The 25283-nt window shown below is 51.0% G+C and overlaps 2 protein-coding genes across 31 annotated transcripts in view, besides 3 other annotated features; one reads left to right on the forward strand and one right to left on the reverse strand.

Moving 5' to 3' along the window:
• HK1 (hexokinase 1) overlaps nt 1-9317 on the forward strand; it is a 131883-nt gene extending 122566 nt beyond the window's left edge. For 27 of the 30 annotated variants that reach the window (NR_199805.1, NR_199804.1, XM_047425137.1 and 24 more), the window contains 3 exons: nt 2385-2540; nt 6030-6263; nt 8426-9317. Coding sequence is in view for 28 of the 30 variants with exons in the window: in XM_047425137.1 (XP_047281093.1) it covers nt 2385-2540; nt 6030-6263; nt 8426-8570 (535 nt within the window). In the remaining 2 variants the exon portion in view is untranslated. The remainder of the gene's footprint in view (nt 1-2384; nt 2541-6029; nt 6264-8425) is intronic. The other 3 variants (NM_001441141.1, NM_001441148.1, NM_001441146.1) reach the window with 3 other exon arrangements.
• Nucleotides 11338-24353, reverse strand: TACR2 (tachykinin receptor 2). Its single transcript, NM_001057.3, has 5 exons — nt 23367-24353; nt 22380-22574; nt 16357-16510; nt 14519-14715; nt 11338-12519 (listed from the first exon to the last, which is right to left on the reverse strand). Exons 1-5 carry the CDS (start codon nt 23756-23758, stop codon nt 12261-12263), a joined length of 1197 nt encoding a protein of 398 aa, NP_001048.2. The 5' UTR covers nt 23759-24353; the 3' UTR covers nt 11338-12260.
• Nucleotides 16069-16348: a silencer, noted in NCBI's record as "silent region_2432". NCBI's record gives its function as "represses an Ori minimal core promoter by ATAC-STARR-seq in GM12878 lymphoblastoid cells {active_cell/tissue: GM12878}" and the evidence as "EXISTENCE:reporter gene assay evidence [ECO:0000049][PMID:35858748]".
• Nucleotides 16639-16738: a silencer, noted in NCBI's record as "silent region_2433". NCBI's record gives its function as "represses an Ori minimal core promoter by ATAC-STARR-seq in GM12878 lymphoblastoid cells {active_cell/tissue: GM12878}" and the evidence as "EXISTENCE:reporter gene assay evidence [ECO:0000049][PMID:35858748]".
• Nucleotides 24123-24857: an enhancer, noted in NCBI's record as "H3K4me1 hESC enhancer chr10:71176444-71177178 (GRCh37/hg19 assembly coordinates)". NCBI's record gives its function as "activates a minimal SCP1, AML or CMV promoter by ChIP-STARR-seq in naive H9 embryonic stem cells {active_cell/tissue: H9 hESC(naive)}" and the evidence as "EXISTENCE:reporter gene assay evidence [ECO:0000049][PMID:30033119]".

A 25283-nucleotide genomic window follows, 5' to 3' on the forward strand; every position in this document is an offset into this window, starting at 1 on the left:
GATTCTGGCCTTCCGGTCCCCTTGCTGTGTTCCTTTCCCATCAGAATAACAAGGGGGTGGGGTGAGGGTGGCTGGGCGGCAGGTTGGTGTGAAGCAGAGGCCCTGTCGCAATCGTCCTTTCCTCCGTGAGCCTCCTGCACCACCTAGTGGCCTTGTGGAGCTTTGCAGCTCAGGTCTCAGGTACCATGTCTGAAATGGCAGTGTCTGCCCTTTGTCTCAAGCCCCCAGGAATCAGGCCATCCTCTGCCACGGCCAGGATGAGTTGGTCCAAGTTGTCTCCCTAGGAGCAGAAAGAAGGGCTGGAGCAGCACCCAGCATGAGTCACTCCCTAGCCCCCTCAAGGTTTTTGCCTTTTCTAAATACCACCCATGCTGTTATTTACTTAGTGCTTTTCTTCGAATCAGCTTACAGTTTTTTGTTTTTCTTTTTGTTTGAGGTGGAGTTTTGCTCTTGTTGCCCAGGCTGGAGTGCAATGGCGTGATCTCGGCTCACCACAACCTCCACCTCCCGGGTTCAAGCAGTTCTCCTGCCTCAGCCTCCCCAGTAGCTGGGATTACAGGCATACACAACCATGCCCAGCTAATTTTGTATTTTTAGTAGAGACGGGGTTTCTCCATGTTGGTCAGGCTGGTCTTGAACTCCCGACCTCAGGTGATCCGCCTGTCTAGGTCTCCTAAAGTGCTGGGATTACAGGTGTGAGCCACCGCAACCAGCCCTTATAGTCTTTTTCTTTTCTTTTCTTTTCTTTTTTTTTTGAGACAGAGTCTCACCCTGTTGTCCAGGCTAGAGTGCAGTGGTGCGAGCTCAGCTCACTGCCACCTCCTGGGTTCAAGTGATTCTCCTGCCTCAGCCTCCCAGGTAGCTGGGATTACAGGTGCACGGCACCACGCCCAGCTAGTTTTTGTATTTTTGGTAGAGACCAGGTTTCACCATGTTGGTCAGACTGGTCTCGAACTCCTGACCTCAGGTGATTGGCCCGCCTCAGCCTCCCAAAGTGCTGGGATTATAGGCGTGAGCCACCGTGCCCAGTGGCCTTTAAGGTCTTTACTGACATTTAATGAAGGAGGAAAAAGAGGAAGAACCAATAGTACCATAAAGAGATGGTAACTAAAAAATGAGTATAGTGAAGAACCGTGCTATTCAAGTCTAGCTGATGCTGTCGCCTACCAAATGACCTGAACTAAGACCCCCTTTGGGCTGAGTGCAGTCTATCATCAAAGTAATCCCAGCACTTTGGGAGGCCAAGGTGGGAGGATTGCTTGAGCTCAGGAGGTTGAGACCACCCTGGGCAACATAGGGTTGAGACCCTGTCTCTACTAAAAATTAATAACAATAATAACAACAATAATAGTAAGACCCCCTTGGTTAAAAAGCGGGGGGATCAGCAAGTGTTGGAAGGGGTTAAGGACATGTCAGCACCAAACTGGGGTGGTCTTTGTGGTGGAATGAGAAGGACTGGGTGGGACTTCGTAGTGGTGGCCCACCCCTCTGTGATTCCATTCTGTTTCATGTTCTTCCATGGACCACATGAAATAGGAGGAATCCTGGAGTTCCAAATTCCAGGGGACTCTTCTCAGCTTTGGGACACTGGGCTTGGGCATGTGCCATGGAAATGAATCAATCCTTTGTTATTTCTTGAGATCCTTGAGCATGGAGAGGGCAGGAAATTTGAAGTCCCAAGAACAGGTTGACCTCCAGTGTGTTGTGGTCACTGAATTCTCCCTCCTGTGTGGCCTCATCACTCTGCTGTGGGCTTGACCAGTACTCTGGGTATTTGCAAAACCTTTAGAAAAATCTAGAAACTTTCCTTTTTTTTGTCTTCTTGTTCCTTTAAGACTTAGCCCAGTCATTTGCTTATTCTGCAGATAGTTTTTGGGCACTTTCCTGAGGGCCCAGTGCTATGCTATGCTGTGCTGTGCCCTGGGGACTCAGAGCTGAAAAAGACACACATGCCCTGTCCTCTTGGGGCTGTCACTACAGCAGTGGTGGTGGGAGGCAGTGAGCTCAGGTGTGTTGTGAAGGAGGAGAATGGTGAGGTGTGTGGGAACCTGAAACAGGCAGGTAGAACCCAGGATCAGGAGGAGGACAGGCTCTCGGGGAAGTGACCTTGGGGCTGAGAGCTATCAGGCAGCTGAGGAGGGAGACCAGTCTAGCAGGTAGACATGAATGCTGGTGGTTTTGTTTCTGATGTGAGAGAGTGGAGGACTCCCTGGTCCTTCCTGGTCCTCCCACTCTGCCTCTGCGGCAGAGCACAGGGCTGGGCACATGGCTGTTGATGATGCGCTTGAGGGGCAGTAGGAGACGCGGAGTGACCGTGAGACCGAGGGGTGACAGTTCTCCTGGCCACTTCCCATAGACACCCCAGGCCCCTCCTCCTGTCTCAGGTATGAGAAGATGATCAGTGGTATGTACCTGGGTGAAATCGTCCGCAACATCTTAATCGACTTCACCAAGAAGGGATTCCTCTTCCGAGGGCAGATCTCTGAGACGCTGAAGACCCGGGGCATCTTTGAGACCAAGTTTCTCTCTCAGATCGAGAGGTGAGTGGGCAGTGTCTTCCCTGCCAGCGCCCACCCTTCAGAGGTCGCCTGGCTGGTGGATTGTGATGGGGGTGGTAGGGACCCTAGGGGACATTTTGGCCATTTTTGAGGATTTTTTTTCCTCTGGAATAGCAGACCCTGGGCATTTGCATAGTGAAATCTTATAATTTTATTATAAATTACTTTTCTTGGCCTGGTGTGGTGGCTCATGCCTGTAATCCCAGCACTTTGGGAGGCCGAGGCAGGCGGATCATGAGGTCAGGAGATTTGAGACCATCCTGGCTAACATGGTGAAACCCGATCTCTACTAAAAATACAAAAAATTAGCTGGGTGTGGTGGCATATGCCTGTAATCCCAGCTACTTGGGAGGCTGAGGCAGGAGACTCACTTGAACCCAGGAGGTGGAGGTTGCAGTGAGCTGAGATCGCGCCACTGCACTCCAGCCTGGCCTGGCAACAGAGCGAGACTGCATCTCAATAAATAAGTAAATTACTTACTTTCCTTTTATCCATCCTTTATGTTGGGGCATTATATTGATTTATTTGAAATTATGTGTGTAAGAGGGCCATATGGATTCCATTTCAGATGGTAAAGATGCACTACACATACTTGTATTGGGGGTGCATAGGGCCCACCTGGATTTATCTGAAAGGCAGCCTGGGGTTCAGTGCCAGGCCACCCAGGAGCTGATGCCCCTCAGCAAGTTGTTCCACCTTCTTTCTACTTTTCTCCTGTCCAGGGTACATTTCTTCCTGGCCTTTGCTGTCTTCTAAGGCACGCTGTGTGAGAAGGAGGAAAAAAGGGTCAGAAAAAACAAAAGCAATTGTGCAAATACTGTGTTCTTCTTAGAATGGTCATAATAACCTAACGTAGGCTCTGTGTAGGCTGGGCACGGTGGCTCATGCCTGTAATCTCAACACTTTAGGAGGCCAAAGCAGGTGAATCACTTGAGTTCAGGTGTTCGAGACCAGCCTGGTTAACATGGCAAGACCCCATTTCTACAAAAAGTGCAAAAACTAGCCGGGCGTGGTGGCACATTCCTGTGGTCCCAGCTATTTGGGAGGCTGAGGTGGGAGGATGGCTTGAGCCCGGTGGCGGAGGTTGCAATGAGCTGAGGTTGCACCACTGCACTCCATCCTGGGCGACAGAGACAGACTCTGTCTCAAAAAAAAAAAAAAAAGAGAAAGAAAAGAAAAAAAATATTAAACCTTAAACAAAAAAAAACCTAACAAGCCTATACACTGCTCTTACCCAGGCAAAATGGTTTTTAAGTATACAGTTCGGTGACATTAAGTACATTCACATAGTCGCACAGCTATCACCACCATCCATTTCCGGAACTCTTTTCATCTTCTCAGCTGAAACTCTGTACGCAGCAAACACTAACTCCACATTCCTCCCTCCCCCCACCCCAGCAACCACCATTCTACTCTCTGTCTCTATGGATTTGACAACTCTGGATACTTCATATAAATAGAATCATACAGCATTTGTCCTTTGTGACTGGCTTAATTCACTTAGCATAATGTCTTAAGGTTCATCCGTATTGTGGCATGTGTTAGAATTTCCTTATTTTTTTATTTTTATTTTTTGAGACGGAGTTTCACTCTTGTTGGCCAGGCTGGGGTGCAATGGTGCAAACTTGGCTCGCCATAACCTCTGCCTCCTGGGTTCAAGCGATTCTCCTGCCTCAGCCTCCTGAGTAGCTGGGATTACAGGCGTGCGTCACCATGCACGCCCGGCTAATTTTGTATTTTTAGTAGAGATGGGGTTTCCCCATGTTGATCAGGGTGGTCTCAAACTCCCGACCTCAGGTAATCTGCCCACCTTGGCCTCCCAGAGTGCTGGGATTACAGGCATGAGCCACCACGCCCGGCCATAATTTCCTTATTTTTAAGGCTGAGTGATATTCCATTGCATGCACACACTGCATTTTGTTTATTCATTCATCCATCCATGGACACTTGGCTTGCTTCCACCTTTTGGATATTGTGACAAATGCTGCTGTGAACACGGGTGACCAGTATCTCCTTTCAGTTTGTGTGTGTGTGTGTACGCACCCCAAGTGGACTTGCGGGATCATATGGTAATTCCCTGTTCAGTTGTTTGTGGAACCACCATGTTGTTTTCCACAGTGGCTGTAACATTTTACATTCCCACCAGCAGCCCGTGAAAGTTCTAGTTTCTCCACATCCTCGCCAACACTTGTTATTTTCTGAGTTGAGAATAGCCATCCTAATGGGTATGAAGTGGTATGGAAAGTCTTTTCAAGCATAATAGCAAAGAAAGAAATCATAAAGAAAAATGGCCAAATATAGCTACATAGTGTCTGTAAGTAAAAAAAAAAAGTAATCAAACTTAAAAGGCAACGGTAAACTGAGGAAGACATTTGTACTGTGTATGACAAGACGCCTAGCAGGGCATGGTGGGCTTTGGCAGGTCTGGTCTACACCTGCTCTTCTCCACCGGCTGTGTGCTTTGCAATACTCAATTTCTCCCAGCCTCAGTTGCCTTATCTTTAAAATGGGAATAATCATACATTCATTGGTTGTTTGAGGAGTAAGTAAGGTAATGTATGTAAAATATATGTTACATGGTAAGTCCTCCAAGAAGCCTGGCTGGTCTTCATTGTACCATCCCAGTTATCGTCTCTTTCAATTTAATATAAATAAGACAAATATATCAGGAGAAAAGTCTTGAGACGTAAGAAGTAGTTTATATGGCCAAAAAACAAATGGAAAAAAAAGAGATCATCCTCACTAATAGAGAATAATATAAATTGAACTACAGTCTTGTGATGCCTTCTTATAAAACTGTCAAAAGTTGTAAAAAAATGCTCTTTTCCAGTGAGGATAAGTGTGGCCAAATACTCTGCTGAAGAGTAAATGGATACAATTTTCTGTAAGGCATCTGGCAATGTGTAGCAAAAGCTCGTTGACCCAGAAATTTATCCTAAGGAAAAACATCAGAATTGCACACAAAGATTTATAAACAAACCTTATCAAAATGTTTCTTTATAATAGCAGAAAATTGCAATTAACTTGAATTTCTCCAAGCTGGCTAAAGAAATCATGGTGCATCCCTAGAGGGAATACTGCAGCAGCTGTTTCCAATCCTGTTCTCAGATAAGGCTGTGGGAAATTGCTCAATGCATGAAACAGGAAAGAGAAAGAAAATCACATATCAAGGATAATCCCATTTTGCATATCATGAGAAGCATACCAGCTAGGAAAAATAAACTGGAAGGAAATATATTAAAATGTTAATAGCATTTTCCTAGATGTTGAGATAGTGAATGGTTTAGATTTTCCAATTTTTATTTTGCTAGATTTGCCAAATTCTCCACAGTTTAACATGTAACACTTGCCCTTGACTCTGTCTGTGGATGAGTACAGTGATTGGGGGCGGGGGGCGTCCTTTGGACGTGGTCTCCAGGCTGCTCTTGTGGGTCCTGCTTCATCCAGCCCTCTGGCTCTTGTCCCCCACAGTGACCGATTAGCACTGCTCCAGGTCCGGGCTATCCTCCAGCAGCTAGGTCTGAATAGCACCTGCGATGACAGTATCCTCGTCAAGACAGTGTGCGGGGTGGTGTCCAGGAGGGCCGCACAGCTGTGTGGCGCAGGCATGGCTGCGGTTGTGGATAAGATCCGCGAGAACAGAGGACTGGACCGTCTGAATGTGACTGTGGGAGTGGACGGGACACTCTACAAGCTTCATCCACAGTGAGTGGGCCTTCCAGTTGGGATGCGCAGAGCTTGCTGGGATCCCTTTGGGTTAGGGGGTATCAGGGTGTGGTTTACGCTGGGGAAATGCCCTGCGGGAGCCCAGCCAGGCTGAAGGCTGTGCGTTCAGGAGCTGGGGATTGTCTAGGACAAGGTAATGAACAGTTTGTAGGGTTTGACTGGGATCCTTAGGGAGACAGAGAAGTGGCTTCACTTGGCCAGCTCACACCAGTGGCATGATGTGACCCTCACCCCACTCCTCCTGGTCCCCCTTAGGTGGGGGCTAGGCAGTGGGAGAGGAGGTGAGGGTGGGCGTGGGCTCACTCATAAGCCTGGTGAGCTGTAGCCAGGCCAGAGGCTCTGTTGGGTAAGTGGGGAGAGGATATTAAGAAAGGGGAGGAGCTGGGTGCAGTGGTTCACACCTGTAATCCAGCACTTTGGGAGGCCTAGGTGGGAGGACTGCTTCAGTCCAGGAGTTTGAGACCAGCCTAGGCAACATAGTGAGACCTTGTCTGTACAAAAAAATTTTGAAAATTAGCCAGGGATGGTGGTGAATGCCTGTAGTCCCAGCTACTCGGGAGGCTGAGGGAAGAGGATTGCTTGAGCCTGGGAGGTGGAGGTTGCAGTGAGCCCAGATCACGCCACTGTACTCCAGCCTGGGCAACAGAGTGAGACCCTATTTCAAAAAATAAAATAGGAAAGGAGGATAGCCACTCTCTTGTTCATCTGCTGAATCAGTTTGCTAAGACTTGGAAGGGCGGGAGCGGTTTGGGCCCTGGGCTTCATGGCAGGGAGGGGTAGGGAGTGGCCTCCCTCTGGTCAGGCATCTGACCCCCCATGCCAGAGAAGGACATGTGATTGCACTTGCTGTGTGATTGTGATCCACCGCATGTCTCACCTTATGAATAGGGTGACCATATTATTTATTTATTGTCTACACTAGGGTACTCTTGCCAGTCAAGAGTGCTAATAATTATTACTCTGGGACTGTAGGCAAACTAGGACCATCCCAGATAAATGAGGCCATAGTGTCACCCTACTTATAAGCAACCTCACCCGACTCAGTGTAGACATTACCTGCTTACCTCATGGCCGTGGCTTGGGGTGGAACCATCTGTCTTGCTCCATCCTCACCTCTGTCTCTCCCCCTTAATAGCTGTCCTTGCCATCAGCTGAGGCAGCACACAGGAGTGGTTTAGAGCTAGGCTTTGGAGCCACATACTCTTGGATTTAACCCTGGCACCGTCACTTAGAATCTGTGTGCAATTGCTTAATCCCTGCAAAATCTCATCTTCCTCATGAGGTGGCAGCCACTGGCAGGACTAGAAATTAGAGCTGTAAAATATGGGGCACCTAGTAGGTCCTCAAACTCCTTGGCTCAAGTGATCCTCCCACCTTGGCCTCCCAAAGTGCTGGCATGAGCCACCGCACTCCGCCCACCTAATAGGTCCCCAACCAAGGACAGTGACTACTTTTGAGAGCCCCTCACCACAAGCATCTTCAGCCTGGCCCTGCCCTTCATTTTGAGCCCAACTTACAAGCATGTAGATTCAGCCTTTGTTCAGATACTATCTTCACTGGAAGGCATTCCTGTCTTTGGGGGCCAGGCTGTTGATGGTGGGGCGCTGGGGGTCTCAGGGTTGCAGCTGGAGATGGGTGATATTCATTCCTGCATAGCCTCCTGAACCGATCCAGTGCTTGGCTGGCTTGCACCTGCCTTAATGATCCATGTCAGCCCCTAACATCCTCCTTGGTTTTGAGGTCCCCCTGGAGCCTCAAGCTCCGATGTGGGTGTGTGTGTTATTCATGTCCTAGCCTTCATAAGCCATACAGAGCAGTTGTGTTTGGATTCGCAGTTGGGCCTCCCTGCTGAAAACTGTGACAATGGGATTGACCGTGGGCCCACTTTCCTCCCAGCCATTCTCAACTGGCCACAGCTGCTTCTAAGCAGCCTGCCTCCCAACCATGTTCACCCTCCTTGTTGTTGGGTTCAGAGTCTCTTTGACTTCCGATGCTTATGTCCTGATAAACCCATCACAAAGTCGAAGAATCCTAAGTCGAATCATCACCAGTCAGGGGGCTGTCTGTGCTTTGGTGTTTTCGGGTAGGCCCAGCGTCTCTCATCTTCCTCCAACTACCTTCTGTTTTCTCGTCCTTTTTAGCTTCTCCAGAATCATGCACCAGACGGTGAAGGAACTGTCACCAAAATGTAACGTGTCCTTCCTCCTGTCTGAGGATGGCAGCGGCAAGGGGGCCGCCCTCATCACGGCCGTGGGCGTGCGGTTACGCACAGAGGCAAGCAGCTAAGAGTCCGGGATCCCCAGCCTACTGCCTCTCCAGCACTTCTCTCTTCAAGCGGCGACCCCCTACCCTCCCAGCGAGTTGCGCTGGGAGACGCTGGCGCCAGGGCCTGCCGGCGCGGGGAGGAAAGCAAAATCCAACTAATGGTATATATTGTAGGGTACAGAATAGAGCGTGTGCTGTTGATAATATCTCTCACCCGGATCCCTCCTCACTTGCCCTGCCACTTTGCATGGTTTGATTTTGACCTGGTCCCCCACGTGTGAAGTGTAGTGGCATCCATTTCTAATGTATGCATTCATCCAACAGAGTTATTTATTGGCTGGAGATGGAAAATCACACCACCTGACAGGCCTTCTGGGCCTCCAAAGCCCATCCTTGGGGTTCCCCCTCCCTGTGTGAAATGTATTATCACCAGCAGACACTGCCGGGCCTCCCTCCCGGGGGCACTGCCTGAAGGCGAGTGTGGGCATAGCATTAGCTGCTTCCTCCCCTCCTGGCACCCACTGTGGCCTGGCATCGCATCGTGGTGTGTCAATGCCACAAAATCGTGTGTCCGTGGAACCAGTCCTAGCCGCGTGTGACAGTCTTGCATTCTGTTTGTCTCGTGGGGGGAGGTGGACAGTCCTGCGGAAATGTGTCTTGTCTCCATTTGGATAAAAGGAACCAACCAACAAACAATGCCATCACTGGAATTTCCCACCGCTTTGTGAGCCGTGTCGTATGACCTAGTAAACTTTGTACCAATTCAAAGACCCGAGTGATGCTTAATGGCTGGGGACGGGGGGACAGGCAGAGGGGGGTGCAGTTTCTTGGGATGTGGCAAAGACCAAACACTGGGGAGTTTTGTGGCCTTCTGGGCGGAGGAGTTTTTTTTTTTGAGATGGAGTCTTGCCCTGTCACCCAGGCTGGAGTGCAGTGGCACAATCTCAGCTCAGTGCAACCTCTGCCTCCCGAGTTCAAGTGATTCTCCTGCCTCAGCCTCCTGAGTAGTTGAGACTACAGGCGTGCATCCCCACACCCAGCTAATTTTTGTATTTTTAGTAGAGAAGGGGTTTCACCATGTTGGCCAGGCTGGTCTCCAACTCCTGACCTCAAGTGATCTGCCTGCCTTGGCCTCCTAAAGTGCTGGGATTATAGAACAAGGCCACTTGGCTTCCAGGCTGCTTGGGTTCAGTGAGAGGACTGCAACACTGGTCCCCTCTCTGCCATCCCCACCCGGATCCTGCCCTTCATCTTCCTCTCTGCCAACCCCAAGACAAAGGATGAAATGTGCTCTGCCCCACCCCTCCCCTCCCTCTCTACCCAAACACAGATGAAATCTTGAAGCAGCCCAGGCTGGCTGCACGCTCCCGCTCCCGGATCTTTTTTCTTTATTTTTTATTTTTATTTTCTGTAGACAGGGTCTCACTGTGTTGCCAGGGCTGGTCTCCAACTCCTGAGCTCAAGCAATCTGCCCCCCTCAGCCTCCCATAGTGCTGGGATTATAGGCGTGAGCCATCGCTCCCGGCCCACCCCTTCTGGATCTTAGATTGACCTCATCCCTAGGAAATTAACCCTTGTCTGACCTTTTACTCTCCCTTCCCACCCCCACCTCAAGAGATTCCTGGTCTATCCCCAGGCTACCATTTTGGATTCTCCCCCAGCCTTGGTGGGTTCCATGTCACTCTGCACCCAAGCACCTTGTGATGTCCCAAGCCACAGCTGCGGCTCTAAGTGGCTTCCTGCGAGACCGATTGCCAGACCACCTGGTTTGGTGAGATCAGAGTCCCTTTATTAGGGGCATGGTGCTGGTGTCTACGGAGCAGTGATTTTTTGGAGAACACAGATAACATTACACCTTCCAGTGTGCATTGACAATGTTACATGGCTCTTCTGCAGGGGAACCAGGGCGTGGAGGCTGAGTTGGCAAGCAGGAGGTGTGCCCCTGGGATGGGCTGGGCCAGACCGGGAGCTTTCTGGGAGTTGGGACAGTTGCTGCTTTCTGCCCTCTAGCTTCTTGCTGCAGAAGTGGGAGTGGGAGCTGTGCTGCTGCTTTGTAGGTGGCTTTTGTGTGAAATAGTTAAAAGTCATGGCTAACAGCCAGGTGTGGTGGCTCACATCTGTAATCCCACCACTTCAGGAGACAGGCAGGAGGAATGGTTGAGCCCAGGAGTTCAAGACCAGCCTGGGCAACATAGCAAGACCCCATATCTACAAAAAACTTAAAAACTAGCTGGGTGTGGTGGTATGTATCTGTGGTCCCAGCTACAGGGGAGACTGAGGCAGGAGGATCCCCTGAGCCCAGGAGGTTGAGGCTGCACTGAATCATGATGGTGCCACTGCACTCCTGCCTGGGTCTCAGAGTGAGGTGAGACCCTGTCTCATAAAAAAAAAAAAAAAAAAAAAGAAAGTCCTGGCTACCATGTATTGGGCACTTAATCTGGTCTGGCCTGCTAGTTTATAGGCATTACTCCCATTGTTCCTCACAGCATCCCTGTGAAGTAGTTTTGATACTGGGCAGAGGTCAAAGTGACTTGCCTGAGGAAACACAGCTGATTTTTTTGGCTCTTAATCACCATCTACGTGGGCTGTATCTGACTTCTTAAATACTGAGACAGAGAAGCCCTCAGCTGACTCAGTCACTGGGCTTTGTGAAATAAGAAGTTTCCTCCTTTGTATCCACAGCCTGATGGCGAATCAGGGTCATGGTTGCATTGCCCACAGATACGTTTTGTTTAACTTATGCAAAGTTTATGAAAATTTGGGTCAAATTCAACAAATCTGGAAGACTCACATACAAATGTGGATTTATAGCTTCTCTTGAAAGATTTAGAAGATCTAGCAACAGTGGGCTCCCATTATCATGTGGCAACGTTTGTCCAGAGCTGAGTAGTTCTTGTCCCCTTTGAATGCCTGTCCTCTCCAGGTTGCCATGGCCCCCACCATTCCCTATTAGCTCAAACTGAGGGTGGAAGTCAGTTGCCTTTTATCATCACATTTGCAGTTTTTCTTTTATACATATTCTTGTATGCCCCAGGAAGGCATTTGAGCTTGCATCTCTTAAATTAGATAAATATCAGCTTACACTGTCTTTTCTGACCCTTACTGGATCCTCTGAAGTGCTCTCTGAGATGGGTGGCTGAGTCCTCTTAAAGTCAGCATCCTTTCTGGAGTTCTGGCCCCATGTTGTCTTTGTATTGGTATACTGAAGGATGGGGCATGAGCTGAACTTTCAGATGTGGTCTTCTCGATTGGCTACTTCTCAAAGGGTGCTACACCTCATTCTGCAGCCAGGCACAAGGCTTCAGGGTTCAATAGGCACCTATCTCAGTCCATTTGTGTTGCTTTCATGGAATACCTGAGACTAGGTAATTTATAAAGAAAAGAGGTTTATTTGGCTCATGATTCTGGTGGCTGGAATATCCAAGATTGGGCAGCTGCATCTGGTGAAGGCCTCAGGCTGCTTCTTGTCATGGTGGAAAGTGGAAGGGAAGTGTTGTGTGCAAAGAGATCACATGGTGAGAGAGGAAGCAAGACAGGGAAACTGAGGACACCACACTCTTTCTAACAACTTGTTATTTTGGGAACTAGTCCATTCCCACAAGAGTGATGATTCACTTCAACTGGAAGGCATTAATCTATTCATAAGGGATCCATCCCCAATACCCAAACACCTCCCACTAACCCCTACCTCCCAACACTGCCACATTGGGATCAAATTTCAACATGAGTTTTGGTGGGGGCAAGCAAACCATACCCAAACCATAGCCCTGATCCATCCTGGGGACGCCCCGCCTCCCCACTGGTAGCCTCGGAGGGGGCTGTGTCCCCAGCCATGAACAAAGTCTCCTTAGTGTGACACCTGTTGACTCTCGTGGAGAGGGAGGTCGTGGGAGTCAGCTCGAGCTTATCTTCCTTGGTGGGTGTGACCCATGGGCAGCAGCGGAAGGCAAGCCGGAATCCAGAGCGAAACCTGGGGGAGCGAGGGGCACCTTGAGCCAGGGAGTTAGGGGCTCAGGAGCTGTGATGTGACTGCCCCCACCCCCAGGAAACTGACTCCCTTCCAGAGGAAAGTCACTGTCTCTCTCCAAGAGCCTCCCATGGCTCAGGGGCTCTTGAGAGATGCCTTCGTGGGTGAGTTTGATTTTTGGAAACTGCCAGAGTGTTCTGGAGCTGGGTCTAGTGAATGAAGTGGGTGACTAAGCTGATTTAGGTCATCTGTTATTACGAACAAAAAATGACCCCAGCATAATTACTAAAAAAACCAACCAACCAACAAACAAACAAAAAAACCAGCAGATGTTCTTGTCTGACTTGTTAACTGGCTTCTAAGGGATGAGTCAAAGAAGAACCTGCTAAAACACAATGGAGGCTTTGGCAACTTGGGAGAACAAGGATGCTTTTCCCAAGGGGACTACATTGAAAAACCCACACTCGGAGCCACCAAGTTCTGATGCATTTGCTTGAAAACAAACAGCTCTCCCCATGGCAGCACTGAACGGGAGTTCAGAGGAAGCACACACGGTGAGTGGAAGAAATCAGACGGCAGAAAGGGAACGCTGGCTGCTCAGAGAAGGGAATGATCCAGAAGTGATGTCAGGATCTTGTAGAGCCTGGGGTGTTGTTTAGACTCCCAGGGACTGTATCTCCCTTGGGTAGCAGGAGAGTGATCAACCCACAGACACAGTGGGCTGGTGGCCCCTCCCAGATGTCAGAGTCCCTGTCTCCAGGTTTTCAATCCCACAAGTCTTTAAAAGAGAAATGCGTGGTGTGGGGATAAGATGACAGGCCTTGGAGACCCATGGAGTCCTGGCTTTACTGTTTGTTGTATGAATTTGGGAGCATCTTACTTTCTGAAGCTCAGTTTCCCCATCTGTAGAGTGGGGGTGACACCTGCTTCTCTCCTATTATCTACTTCCCTCTCAGGAGATAGAGAGTTCTGGCCTCCTGCAAAAAATCATAGCTCCTTATTTCCTTTTGGCCTGCCCCAGGCGGGTGAAATGTCTGAGCCACAAAGATCCCAATGGCATTATGAGTAGCCTGGCTACCTGGCCAGGGAGGTGACAAAAAACATGAACAAAGAGGTCCAAGGCCAACTTCGCCCACATCATTGTCTCACTGAGGTGAGACTGTGTCCACCTCTTGCCGCCCCTTATTTGCCCCACCTTCAGGGTTTCCTGCCACTGAAAGGCCTGCTCTGCAGAACTCCTGGGGCTGGGTTCCTCCCTGACTCACCACCCCCCACCTCTCCAGGTGCCCCAGAGCAAGTGCAGGCCCCTCTCTGGGACTCATTTCCTCAGAATCACGAGGCGTAGGGAAACTGGATGATGCCAGGAGAGTGAGATTCTGGCCCCCTCCTTCCTGGCTGTCTCTGACAGGGTCACTTCCCAGCTGCCCTGAAAGTCCCTGGAGGACAGGGCATGCACTGTGAGCTTTCCAGGGAGCAGCCTGCCCCACCCCTGTGCTGGCCCCAGCCCCCATCCACTGCTTCCACTGCCGGATGGGTGCCATTCACTTGGCTCCAGGAAAGCCCTCAGTAGGAAGCTTGTGAAAATACTAGAACAGAAGTCAGTCCCTCCCTCCCGCTACTTAGCTTTTCTTTCCTTCGTCTGTCTGTCCCACCCCCTCTCTGTGACTCTCCCCTCCCCTTCATCTCTCTGGCCCTCCCTTCTCTCTTCTCTTGCCCCAGACACAGAACCCAGAAGAGCCAGCAGGAACAGACAGACAGTGAGAGCTACAGCCTGGGAGACGGTGAGGATTTGGGGAGGAAGGGGGCTCAAGCTAGGCCCAGGCCAGAGGGATTATTGTGCTGGGGGCTGAGTGTGAGGACGGCTTTCTCATGTAGGCTGGGGGCACAGGGCCACAGGTTCCGGCAGGAATGAGGATGGATGCTTGAGCTGTGCAGGGGAGCCCACCTGGGGCTGGGCAGTGGGGCCCTGAGGGCAGAGGGTGGGGCTGGAGTGGGGGCTCACCTGTGGTTGAGACAGCAGTAGATGATGGGATTGTACATGGTAGAGCTCATGGCCAACCAGAAGAGTGCCAGGTAGACTTGCTGGATGAACTTGTGGCAGTAGATGTCCTCCTGGAAGCTGCCCAGGATGAAGTAGAGGTGGTAGGGCAGCCAGCAGATGGCAAACGTCAGCACCACCAGCACCATGGTCTTCACAAACTGGTCCAGGAGAGGCTCAAGTTACTTCTTAGTGCCCAAGCCCCAGCCCCAGCCCTCCGAGGGCAGACACAGAGGACCCCTTGCACCCACCTGGGAACTGCTCCACACACAGACCCCGTTAGCTCTATTACTCAGGCCTCTGAGCATGTTTTGCCCAGACCTTCCTGAGCCCCCAACCTCAGAGGCCTGTGCTCAGGCAGGTCCCTCTGCCCATACTGCCATCCTTCCTTTGAAGTCCTCACTCCTTGAAGCCCAGCTCAATGGCCACTTCCTACAAAAGGTGTCTGGGACCCCTTCATTCACTGCAGCTCCCCCTCCCTGGAGAGTGGCTGAGCTCTCTCTCCTAACCCCATCCCTGGGGGAGCCCCTGTGTCAGCTATGCGTTCCCAGGACGCCCCCTCTCTGGGATCCGTATCGGCACAGCCCTTCTCTCTGTGGGCTGTAAGGTTCCAACCAGGGACCCCTGCCTCTGCCCACGGGTCAGCTCCTGGACCTCCCCCTCCTCAGAGCCTGGCCCCTGCAGGCACACTCCTGCTCCGTTTGGCAGCCCAGCATGCCAATTACAAAAGGTCTGGGGGCTCCTGGGCACCCTGATCCTCACGTAGGATCTGGGTTGAGACCCCTAGTGTGGAGCAGATGGAGGCCAGTGCTCCATGAGGGGCACCAGATGGCGCCCATGTGCAGCTATCTCCCCGAACCACCCTGTGAAAGATGCCTACTTTTGGGTGAGAAGCATGGCTTTGACCTGGCTACATGATGTGGTTAACCCATTACCTCCCCTGTTGCCTGGTAGGAAGGGGGCAAGGACAAGCTTGGACTGAAGGAGGGTGAAGGGGGTCTTGGGCACAGAGGGCTACATCAGGACCTTCGGGGGACCCTGGATGGCAGGGAGTAGGGGGACACTGCCACTTCCGGAAGAAACTGGAGACAGATTTGATGAAGCTGGACAACTATCTGGTCTCCACGACCTCCGGGGTCCGCAGTTCCAGCCTTTGAGGGCTCTCCTGTGACTGTCAGGCACCTTCTATAGTTCTGTGGGGCTTCTCAATTTCAACATTCTGATTATTCAAAAAGTCTAAGATTTTAATATTTTATCATTCTAAGATTCTTGGGGGTATCTGAATTCTACGGGGCTTTAGGAGTCCCTGACTCCCCTAACATTCTGGGAAGTTAATTTTTTTTTGTCTTTTTTTTTTCTTCCTTTTTGTGGAGAACGGGGTCTCGCTATGTTGCCCAGGCAGGTCTCGAACTCCTGGGCTCAAGCTATCCTCCCGCCTCTGCCTCCCTGAGAGCTGGGATTACAGGCGTGAGCCGCCGCGCCCGGCAAGTTTCTTTAATTTTGTATTTGGCCAAAGACCAAAGGCAAATCCGCCCGGCTGGGAGGAACGCGGTCAGGCTCTGGCCCCAGACTTCGCGCGAAGGCAGCTTCCGCAAGCTTCTCCCGGGCGCCCTCTTGCGGACCGGCCTTGAGACCGTAAGGGCGGCTCCCCAGGGCGGGGTCAGGCCCCGTCCCGCCCCCGTCCCGCCCCCGTCCCACCCCCGTCCCACCCCGTCCGGCCCCGCCCCCATGAGGCCTCGCCCCCGCCAGCCCCCCGCCCCCTCCAGGCCCCGCCCCCTCCAGGCCCCCGCCCCCGCGCCCACCTTCTTCATGGCCTGCAGGTGGCGCAGGTTGGCACCGTGCGCCTGATGTCCGGGCACTGCGCGCCTCCAGAGCGTGAGGCCGATGACGCTGTAGGCTACAAACATCACCGCGAGCGGCAGGAAGTAGATGAGGGCGATCACCACGAGGTGGTACCTGCAGGGAGAGCCGAGGCCTGGGCAGCGGAGGGCCCGGGGGCGACTCCGAAGTCTGCCAGCGCCTGGTCCTGGGACCCCGCGGGCACTGTGGAGCCGCCCCTGCGGGCCCACCCTGGGCGCCTCCCAGGGACTTGGTTTGATTTAAACAAAAATAAAGGTGGCATTGGGTAGCCTGTGTGCCAGGAGACGGCTTCCCTGCAAAAGGGACGCCAGCAGTAGCCCTGCGTCCTTCCATATCACATCCTTCCACGTGATAGACACGTGTCAAAAAAAGGAAAAGTGAATGAAACAAATTAAGAAATAATTTGTTTGCAATTTAAAATGCCATTAAGCACAAAGGAGGCAGTAAAATTATCCCACTCCCACCACTATTAACATTAACTATTAATATCTGGCATATTTTTTCCAGAATCATATGTATGAATAGTAGTCACCCCTGATGGGAGTTTCACTTTCCCGGGTTTCAGTAACCCCTCCCAACTGCGGATCCAAAATAGGGGAGGAGAGTACAACAAGATATTTTGAGAGGGAGAGACCTCATTCACAGAAGTTTAATTACAGTATATTGTTATACTTGTTCTGTTTTATTACTAGTTACTGTTAATCTCTTACTGTGCCTAATTTATAAATTAAACTTTATCATAGGTATGTTGAGGAAAAAAACAGTATATATCTATATAGAGAGAATTCAGTGCTATCTGAAGTTTCAAGCATCCACCGGGTGTCTTGGAGTGTATCCTACAGTATAGCCATATATGTATACGTATACGTATATGTATATGTATATGTATATATATATATATACATATATACATATATATATATACATATATATATATATATATATATATATATATATATATATAATCTGTATCTGTCTGGATGGATAGAATGACTGGTGTTAATAAGGCTCCATCTGCACCAACATCGCTATGGAGGCATGGGACAGTGGAAAAGCGCCATATATCACATGCTGCTGTGTCATCTGCTTATGGTTTATCAGCATTTGGCTGGGAACCTCGTTTGTGTCAGCAAATGCTCTTTCATACCACCTTTGAGGAAGTGATGCAGAGTACCATTGCGTGGCTTCCTACCCCGTCCCCAGGGAGGACACTGGGTTGTGTTGAGGCTTTTCATTTCCTTTTGGAAACAGTGTAGGCCAGGCGTGGTGGCTCATGCCTGTAATCCCTAAACTTTGGGAGACCAGGATGGGAGGACTGCTTGAGCCCAGGAATTTGAGACCAACCTGGGCAAGATAGTGAGACCCTATCTCTATTAAAAAAAATTAAAAAAATTAGCCAGGCGTAATGGGGCACACCTGTAATTCCAGCTACTCAGGAGGCTGAGGCAAGAGGTTCACTTGAGCCCAGGAGATCGAGGCTGTAATGAGCTATGATTGGGCCACTGCACCCTAGCCTGGGCGATAGAGTGAGACCCTGTCAAAAAAAAAAAACAAAAAAACGACAGTGTCCCCAGTTCTCAGATCTCTGGTTTATGAGTGACGCTGCAGCCTCTCTCTGATGAGCTGCAGGCTGGGGACTGACTCCTCGGCAGGTCTGCAGTGGGAACCTGTGGAGACAAAAGTGACTCCATCTTGGATGCCACTCCCCTGTGTTGACTTCCGATTCGCCCCAGTCTTGTGAATGCCTTCTGATTTCTACTTTATTTACTGCCCCTAGTGTAAGAACATGTCAACCTTGATGTTACTCCACAAATCGTAGGCTGTGACTCACGTAGCGTTCTTGCCTGTTCTGGAGGGCTGCCTTTGGTTGTCTTGCTGGAGCACGAATACCCTTTCCCTATGGTATCTAAGCCTTGCATCTGGGGTGTGAGAATGCAGAGCTCCACCTGTCTTGTGGCCACCCAAGATCCCACTTCGGTCTGTAAATTCCCTCAATAAATCACCCAATATTGACAAACTGGATTTGTTCTGCCTCCTTCTTTGGGTCTGGGCTCCTTTGGCATTTGGGGGTCCCTTTCATGGAACAGAGTCCTTAGAGCATTCCACCAATGGGCCTGAGACCCCTGGTCCCGTCATTTGACTTTTTCTTTCTTACTGGGAGGACTGAGGTGTTCCCAAACCTCCTGCTTCTACCTGCCACATGCTAGGCTTGCTGCGCCCCTTTCTAGAGGTGCTGCTACCCCAAGGGAAGGGGACCCATGGTGAAACCACCTTTGCAAAAATAACGAGGAAATTACGACAGTGAAAGAAATCAGACCTAACCAACTCTATCTTGCTTCTAATCCTTAAGCTGTCCTTGTTCATGCCTGGGTGTAGGCCGAGCTATCTTTGGGAAGGAATTCAGTTCATGATTTTACTCTGAAGCAAAATTGATAACAGCCCTTTCCTGAAAAGACCCCCTTCTTGCCTGGGATCCAATCTGCCTTTCCAGGACTAACAACTTAGCTACAAGGATAGAAATTATTTAGGGGTCATGCAGCCTCTGGCTCCAAGAGTTTGAACCTCCCCCAAATTCCTTGGGGGCAACATCACTATTGTAAAACCTAAGATCAGTGCTTGAGATGTTTTGCAGAGCCTGCACTCAGTGGATCAGCTGACACCACCCAGACCGGGTAATCTGACTCAACCAGTTCTGCTATCACACCCAGGAACAGAAGACAGCGAGAAAACCTCATTTCGACCCCCTGTGATTCCATCTCCAACCCGACCAATCAGCATTCCCCATTTGCCAAGGCCCTAGCTGCCAAATTATCTTTAAAGACTCTGATTCCTGAATGCTAAGGGAGACTGATTTGATTTTGTTTTTTTTGAGATGGAGCTTTGTTCTTGTTGCCCAGGCTGGAGTGCAATGGTGGGGTCTTGGCTCACCACAACCTCCACCTCCCAGATTCAAGTGATCCTCCTGCCTCAGCCTCCCAAGTAGCTGAGATTACAGGTGCCTGCCACCACGCCCTACTAATTTTTGTATTTTTAGTAGAGACAGGGTTTTACCATGTTGGCCAGGCTAGTCTTGAACTCCTGACCACTGCCTTGGCCTCCCAAAGTGCTGGGATTACAGGCGTGAGCCACCGCGCCTGGCCTGATTTGAGTAATTATAAAACTCTGGTCTCCTGCACAGTAGGCTCTGCATTAATTACTTTTTCTCCATTGCAATTCCCCTGTCTTGATAAATAATTTCTGTCTAGGCAGCAGGCAAGGTGAACCCACTGGGTGATTATAATGGCTCCAGTAAATCTCTCTCCTAAAGTCTTGTGTTTAGAATTCTGCTTGGGTTCTTTTGGCAAGCATGCCAATTACAAGAGGTTCAGGCGCTCCTAGACTCCCTGATCCTCAAGTAGGCTTTGGGTTGAGAACCCCAGTGTGGAGCAGATAAGAGGGGAGGAGGGGCAACGAGGGCCAGGGCCCATCACCTTACAGAGTGAGGATCTACAGGGCCACCTATCTCAGTGTCCAGATAGGAAACTGAGGCCCAGAGAGGCACAGGAAGTCTGTGTCATACCCGTCTACAGATTTAATCATGACCAAATTTCCCCTTTTCTGAGGGTCAGCACTGTGGGAGTCAGTACAGGGCTCTTGTCCAGCCTCTTGTTTAAAGCATGATCTTAGGCAAGTCAGGGCTTTCCCTCAGCCTCAGTTTCCCCATCTGTAAAAGGAGGAGGCCATCTCTAAGTCCTTCCTTAGCAGGAGCCACACTCCTCTGTTGCTTGCTCCTAGGATGTTGTGCAGGACAGGAATTCACCCTGGGCTAGGTCTCCATGCAGAAGGCAGAGGGGAAGAGTTCCAGGGACCGCCTTTGTTTGTTTTGTTTTGAGACGGAGTTTCACTCTTGTCGCCCAGGCTGGTGGCAATGGTGTGATCTTGGCTCACTGCAACCTCCACCTCCCAGGTTCAAGCGATTCTCCTGCCTCAGCCTCCCAAGTAGCTGGGATTACAGGCACCCACCATCAAGCCCAGCTAATTTTTATATTTTTAATAGAGACAGGGTTTCATCACGTTGGCCAGGCTGGTCTTGAACCCCTGACCTCAGGTGATCTGCCCACCTTGGCCTCCCAAAGGTAGTCTTTTTGTATTTTGATTTTGGGGGTGTGTGCGCATGTTCCTGAAGAGGGCATCTTTAATTTCATCAGATTCCTAATTACACACAGTTACATGAGCCTGTGTGGATGGAGCCCTCATCCTAAATTAGGCTCTCCCCCAAGAAAAACAATAACACATTCTCACACTTAAAACCAGGCTTTCCCCAAATCCTTTCGGAATTTTAAGCAACACCAAAGTATGGCTTTCCTAGCCCACCCCTGCCCGCCTGTTTTTCCCAGTCGCCTGAATCTGGGATGGAACTCGCTGTTCTCAGAGAGCTGGCACGCACAGTGGTCCTGTATGAAGATGGAGAAATACCGACCCCAAGTGGCCGGTCTCAATATGTTCTGCTCTCCACCCTTTGCTGAGCCAGAAAGCCGGGCATTCCCCATATATGGATATCGCCCTCCGTGAGAGGGTGGGGTGCAGGGAGGGGGCAGAGACCCTGGGCAGGGCCTGCCCTCGAGACTCGCCAGTCCCCAGGAACGGCTTCTCAGAAGAATGGCACCTTCCCTATCCCTGAAGCCCACAAGAGCAGCCTTCTCCTGGCAGGTGCTCAGGACAGATGGAGACCAGGCAGGGAGGATGTTGGAGGAGAGGTGTGTTGCCATGGCTACCTGGCAGCCCTCACCTCAGACCATGCACACCCTCATGCTTGGGGCAGCTGGGACTTTGTGGGAAGGATCTGCCACCCCCAGGTGTGTTTTCATGTGTCCCCTATTTAAGCTGCCACATACTGGGTACCAGTTCTGTGCCAGGCATGGTGCTAAGGGCTTCAGGTACACTATCTCATTTATGCTCACAGAGCGAGGTACTATTATGAATCCTCATTTTAGAGAGAGAAAGCCAGAGGTTCAGAGGTTACGTGAGTGTGAGGCATCCTCCGGCCACGTGGGACCAGGCCACGACTTGGGCCTGACTGAGCCCAGAACCCCAGTCGGTTCTTTAGCCTCTACCAAGCAATGGCTCAGTGCCTGGGGACCACAAAGACACATCGTGAGATCCTCAGAAACTGAGGCCGGAATGGAGAAAGGACTCACCCAGGGTCACACAGCAGCTGGGCCATGCCTGAATTCCTCTAACCCTGCCCTCCCTGCCTCCAGCCTGTGATGCCCACCTCAGCAGCCTGAAAATGTCCCAGGCTCCATCATGGACTCGTTCTGCCTCAGTCTCCTGCCGCTTTGTGGCCTGAGCATATAGAGAGTCTCCCCCAGACACACGCCTACACATGTCCCTAACACGTGCCTGTGTGCAAACACATCTACAAATATGCCCACACACTTGCACGTGTACACACAGGCAGAAATGGGTGCCGCATGTTCACGTGACATGTACAGTCACATACACGTGTGCATGCATGCATATCCTTATCTAAGGATGCAAGGGTGCATATTTGAGTAGCAGAGTGGTGAGGAGATTGGGCCCTGGGCAGGATTGCTTAGATTTGAATCCATAGCTGGATTCAAATGACTAGCTGGATTTGAATTACTAGCTGTGTGGTTTTGGGCATGTTACTTAGTTTTTCAGTGCCTCAGTTTCTTCATCTAAAAAATGGTAAGAATAATAATATAATATATATCCCACATAGTTAGGAGAATTAAATGGGTCAATATATGTAAAGTGTGAAAAACAGATCGGCTACATCGTGTGTGTTGCTTACTAAGCATATAGGTATATTCACACAATCCCGTGTACACTCACTCATGTGTACACCCATGCATGCACACCACACATGCATGGACATGGATGCATGCACGCGTGTGTACACACACACACACAGACTCACACACACACACTGTTGCCCTCCACAATCCCCCAGAGGCCTTACAGGAGGAGCGTCTTGCCCCCGCTGTCTTCGGGCCAGGCCACCACGCACTTGGTGGCACCCTGGTCCATGGTGACGGTGGAGTAGAAGCACTGAGGGGAGGCCAGGGCGAGAGCCACCAGCCAGATGCCAGCAATAACCGCCTTGGTGCTGGGAGCTGAAAGCCGAGGCTGGAAGGGGTGGACGATGGCCATGTACCTGTGAGCAGAGGGCAGCTTGAGCGGCAGGGGCCCTCCTGTTAGCCCAGCTCCCTTTCCCCTGTCTCCCTCTCTCCCAACCCAGGCCCACGCCTTCTAGCCATTCCCCGCACTGCTGCCATCTGCTGATATCATAGTATCAGCCGACCTGCAGAGAGCCCGCTGGGTGACTCTCCCACAGCCACACAGCACACTGATGCCTTGGAACCCCGGCCCAGGCACCTCGGCCCACCATTTCCCTCTGGGCATGGACATGCCCGTGGACGGCCACAAGAAAGCCACACTGGAAGCCCATCTCAGGGCAAGATCAAGCATCCAACATTAGCCTGAAGCTCAGCCCTGAGCAGCGTTGGGAAAATAATTGGCCCTATTAGATTGTAACTGCAAGCAAACTTAACATTTTCCCCTCGTGTAATCTATCCGGAATAATAAAAAAAAAACTGTATAAGACATATCTTTGGAGTGAAATAAAGACAACAAAACAAAGATCAACTCCAGGAAAGAACACTTCAGAAGGTCGCTAAAACATTGCCCACTTCCCCTACAGACTTGAACAACCTGTCTAGTGCATCTAGTGCAAAGTCCTTCTCTGTGTCTAACCCTCAGTCTACCTTCTTCAGCTCCACAGTCCCCCTGCCTTCCAGATTCATAGTTTTGGACCATGACCAGATTTGGGAAGCCATTCCCATGGTTCTACCCAAACTTGCTGTGTAATCACAGGCATGTCACCACCCTTATCTGAGCCCCGGCTCAGTGGGGAGGCTCCCCCCAGCTTCCCCAAGGACCCTCTTGCCTGTCGGCAGCAATGGCGGTCATGGAGTAGATGCTGACAAACATGGCTGTGATGGGGAAGAGGTTCTGGAAGTAGCAGAAGGCACGGCCAAAGTACCAGATGTTGTGGCTGGCATAGACAAAGTTGAAGGCGGCATTGAAGGCAGCCATGCAGAGGTCAGCCAGCGCCAGATTGACGATGAAGTAGTTGGTGACTGTGCGCATCCTCCGATGGGCCAGGATGATCCAGATGACGATGGCATTACCCGTCACGGCCACCAGCACCAGGGCCAGGTAGGCTGTGGCCCACAGTGCCAGTTGCCAGCTGGGCATGGAGAAGGCTGTGATGCCCGTGGTGTTGCTCTCAGGGCCAGATGAGATATTGGCTTCAGTCACAATGTCACAGGTCCCCATGGCTGCTTCTGGGTCTGGAACAAAGGACCTGGCTCCTCGGCTCCTCTCGGATTTGCTATGAAAGAGAACTCCCCTTCAGAGCATGGGAATATGGGGGCAGGGAGAGGAGCAGATGCCAAGCGTGGTGGCACATCAGGAGAGCCTGGGGCCACTCCTAGGTCTCAGGCAAAGATGAGCTGGGCTGAGCACAAAGCCCAGTCCAGAACCATTGTCATTTCAGATTCCATCCTTCCGGCCAGACTTCTCGAATATCATGTGGAAACACAGAATTCAAATCACAGTGTCAGAGCAGAAAACACCCTTATAAATCAACCCCTTCGCTGAAGAGATGGAAGACAGAGATTCCAAGAGGGGACGGGACCAGCCCAGGTCACTCAGGAAGTTGGTGACAAGTTAGGACTCGAACCCAGGTTTCTCGTCACGTAATTCAGGAAACCTTCCAGATCAGAGGAATGCACAGCGGGAGTCTCTGGAGTCCACAGGTCAATGGCGCAGCAGCCTCTCTCCAGGCTTTGGGCTGCAAGCCGGGCTGGGTGCTGGGTGCTCAGGGCTCTGCCAGCTGCCAGCCCTCGCTGCAGCTTCCCTGCCGTTCTCTGGGGCAGGGCCAGTGGGGGCCTTGGCAGAGGTGCTGCCTGCTCACGAGGGGGGGCTTTGGCTCCCGCCCCTGGTCCCACCCCCTGCTTGGCCTTGTCTCTTGAAAGATTTAGGACTGGCTGCAGAGGCAGGGAGAGACTTGGGGGAGATGGGGCTGGTACAGAGGGCCCAGCTCTCGGCGGATGTTGACTTTCAGCCCAGGACAGGAGCTACGTCTGAAGAGTGATTCTGAATACAGAAGGAGTTCGAGCCTGGTTTGGTGACTCCAGGCAAGTCTCTTAACCTTTCTGAGCTCTGTCTACCCCATCTGAAAAATATAGAAAAATGGTGTGCATCTTACAGTACATTTGTGAATTTTAAATGGAGATAATGTGCACAAAGTCTACTTAGCACAGGGGTTGGTACATAAAAACTATGATTGGAGTTTCTGGCCCGAAGGGAGGACCCCACAGCTCTGGGCGCTCTAGGAGGAGAAGCCAGAACCCGGAGCGTTTCCAGCGAGTTCCCAGGTGATACTGATGCTGCTGGAGCCAGCACTTCACTTTGAGAACCACTGTCTTAGGACAAAGTCAGGGCTCTTCCGGGAACCACAGCAAAGCTGGAGTTTTAACTCCTGAGAAGCTGCTCTAGGTTTGCCCCAAGATCCCTGCTCCTGGTCATTGACTGTGTGCACGTGTGTGAAGCAGTGAAGATGTTTCTGAGCAACTGTATGTGCGGCTGACGTGTTAAGCTCACACACACGCATGAACCTGTGCACACCTGTGGTGTGTGGACCATGAAGGCAGGGCAGGATTAGCGGGAGTCGGGGGGGCATGTTCTTCATTAAAGCAGAGGAGGCTTCTCATTCACCAGCAACCCACGGCACAGCAGCCTCTGTGCTCCCAGGGCTCTGCCTTGCACCGCCTGGGTTTCTCGTGGCTGGGCCTCGGCC

This window comes from Homo sapiens, chromosome 10 (assembly GCF_000001405.40).
Source record: "Homo sapiens chromosome 10, GRCh38.p14 Primary Assembly".
NCBI classification, from domain to species: domain Eukaryota; kingdom Metazoa; phylum Chordata; class Mammalia; order Primates; family Hominidae; genus Homo; species Homo sapiens.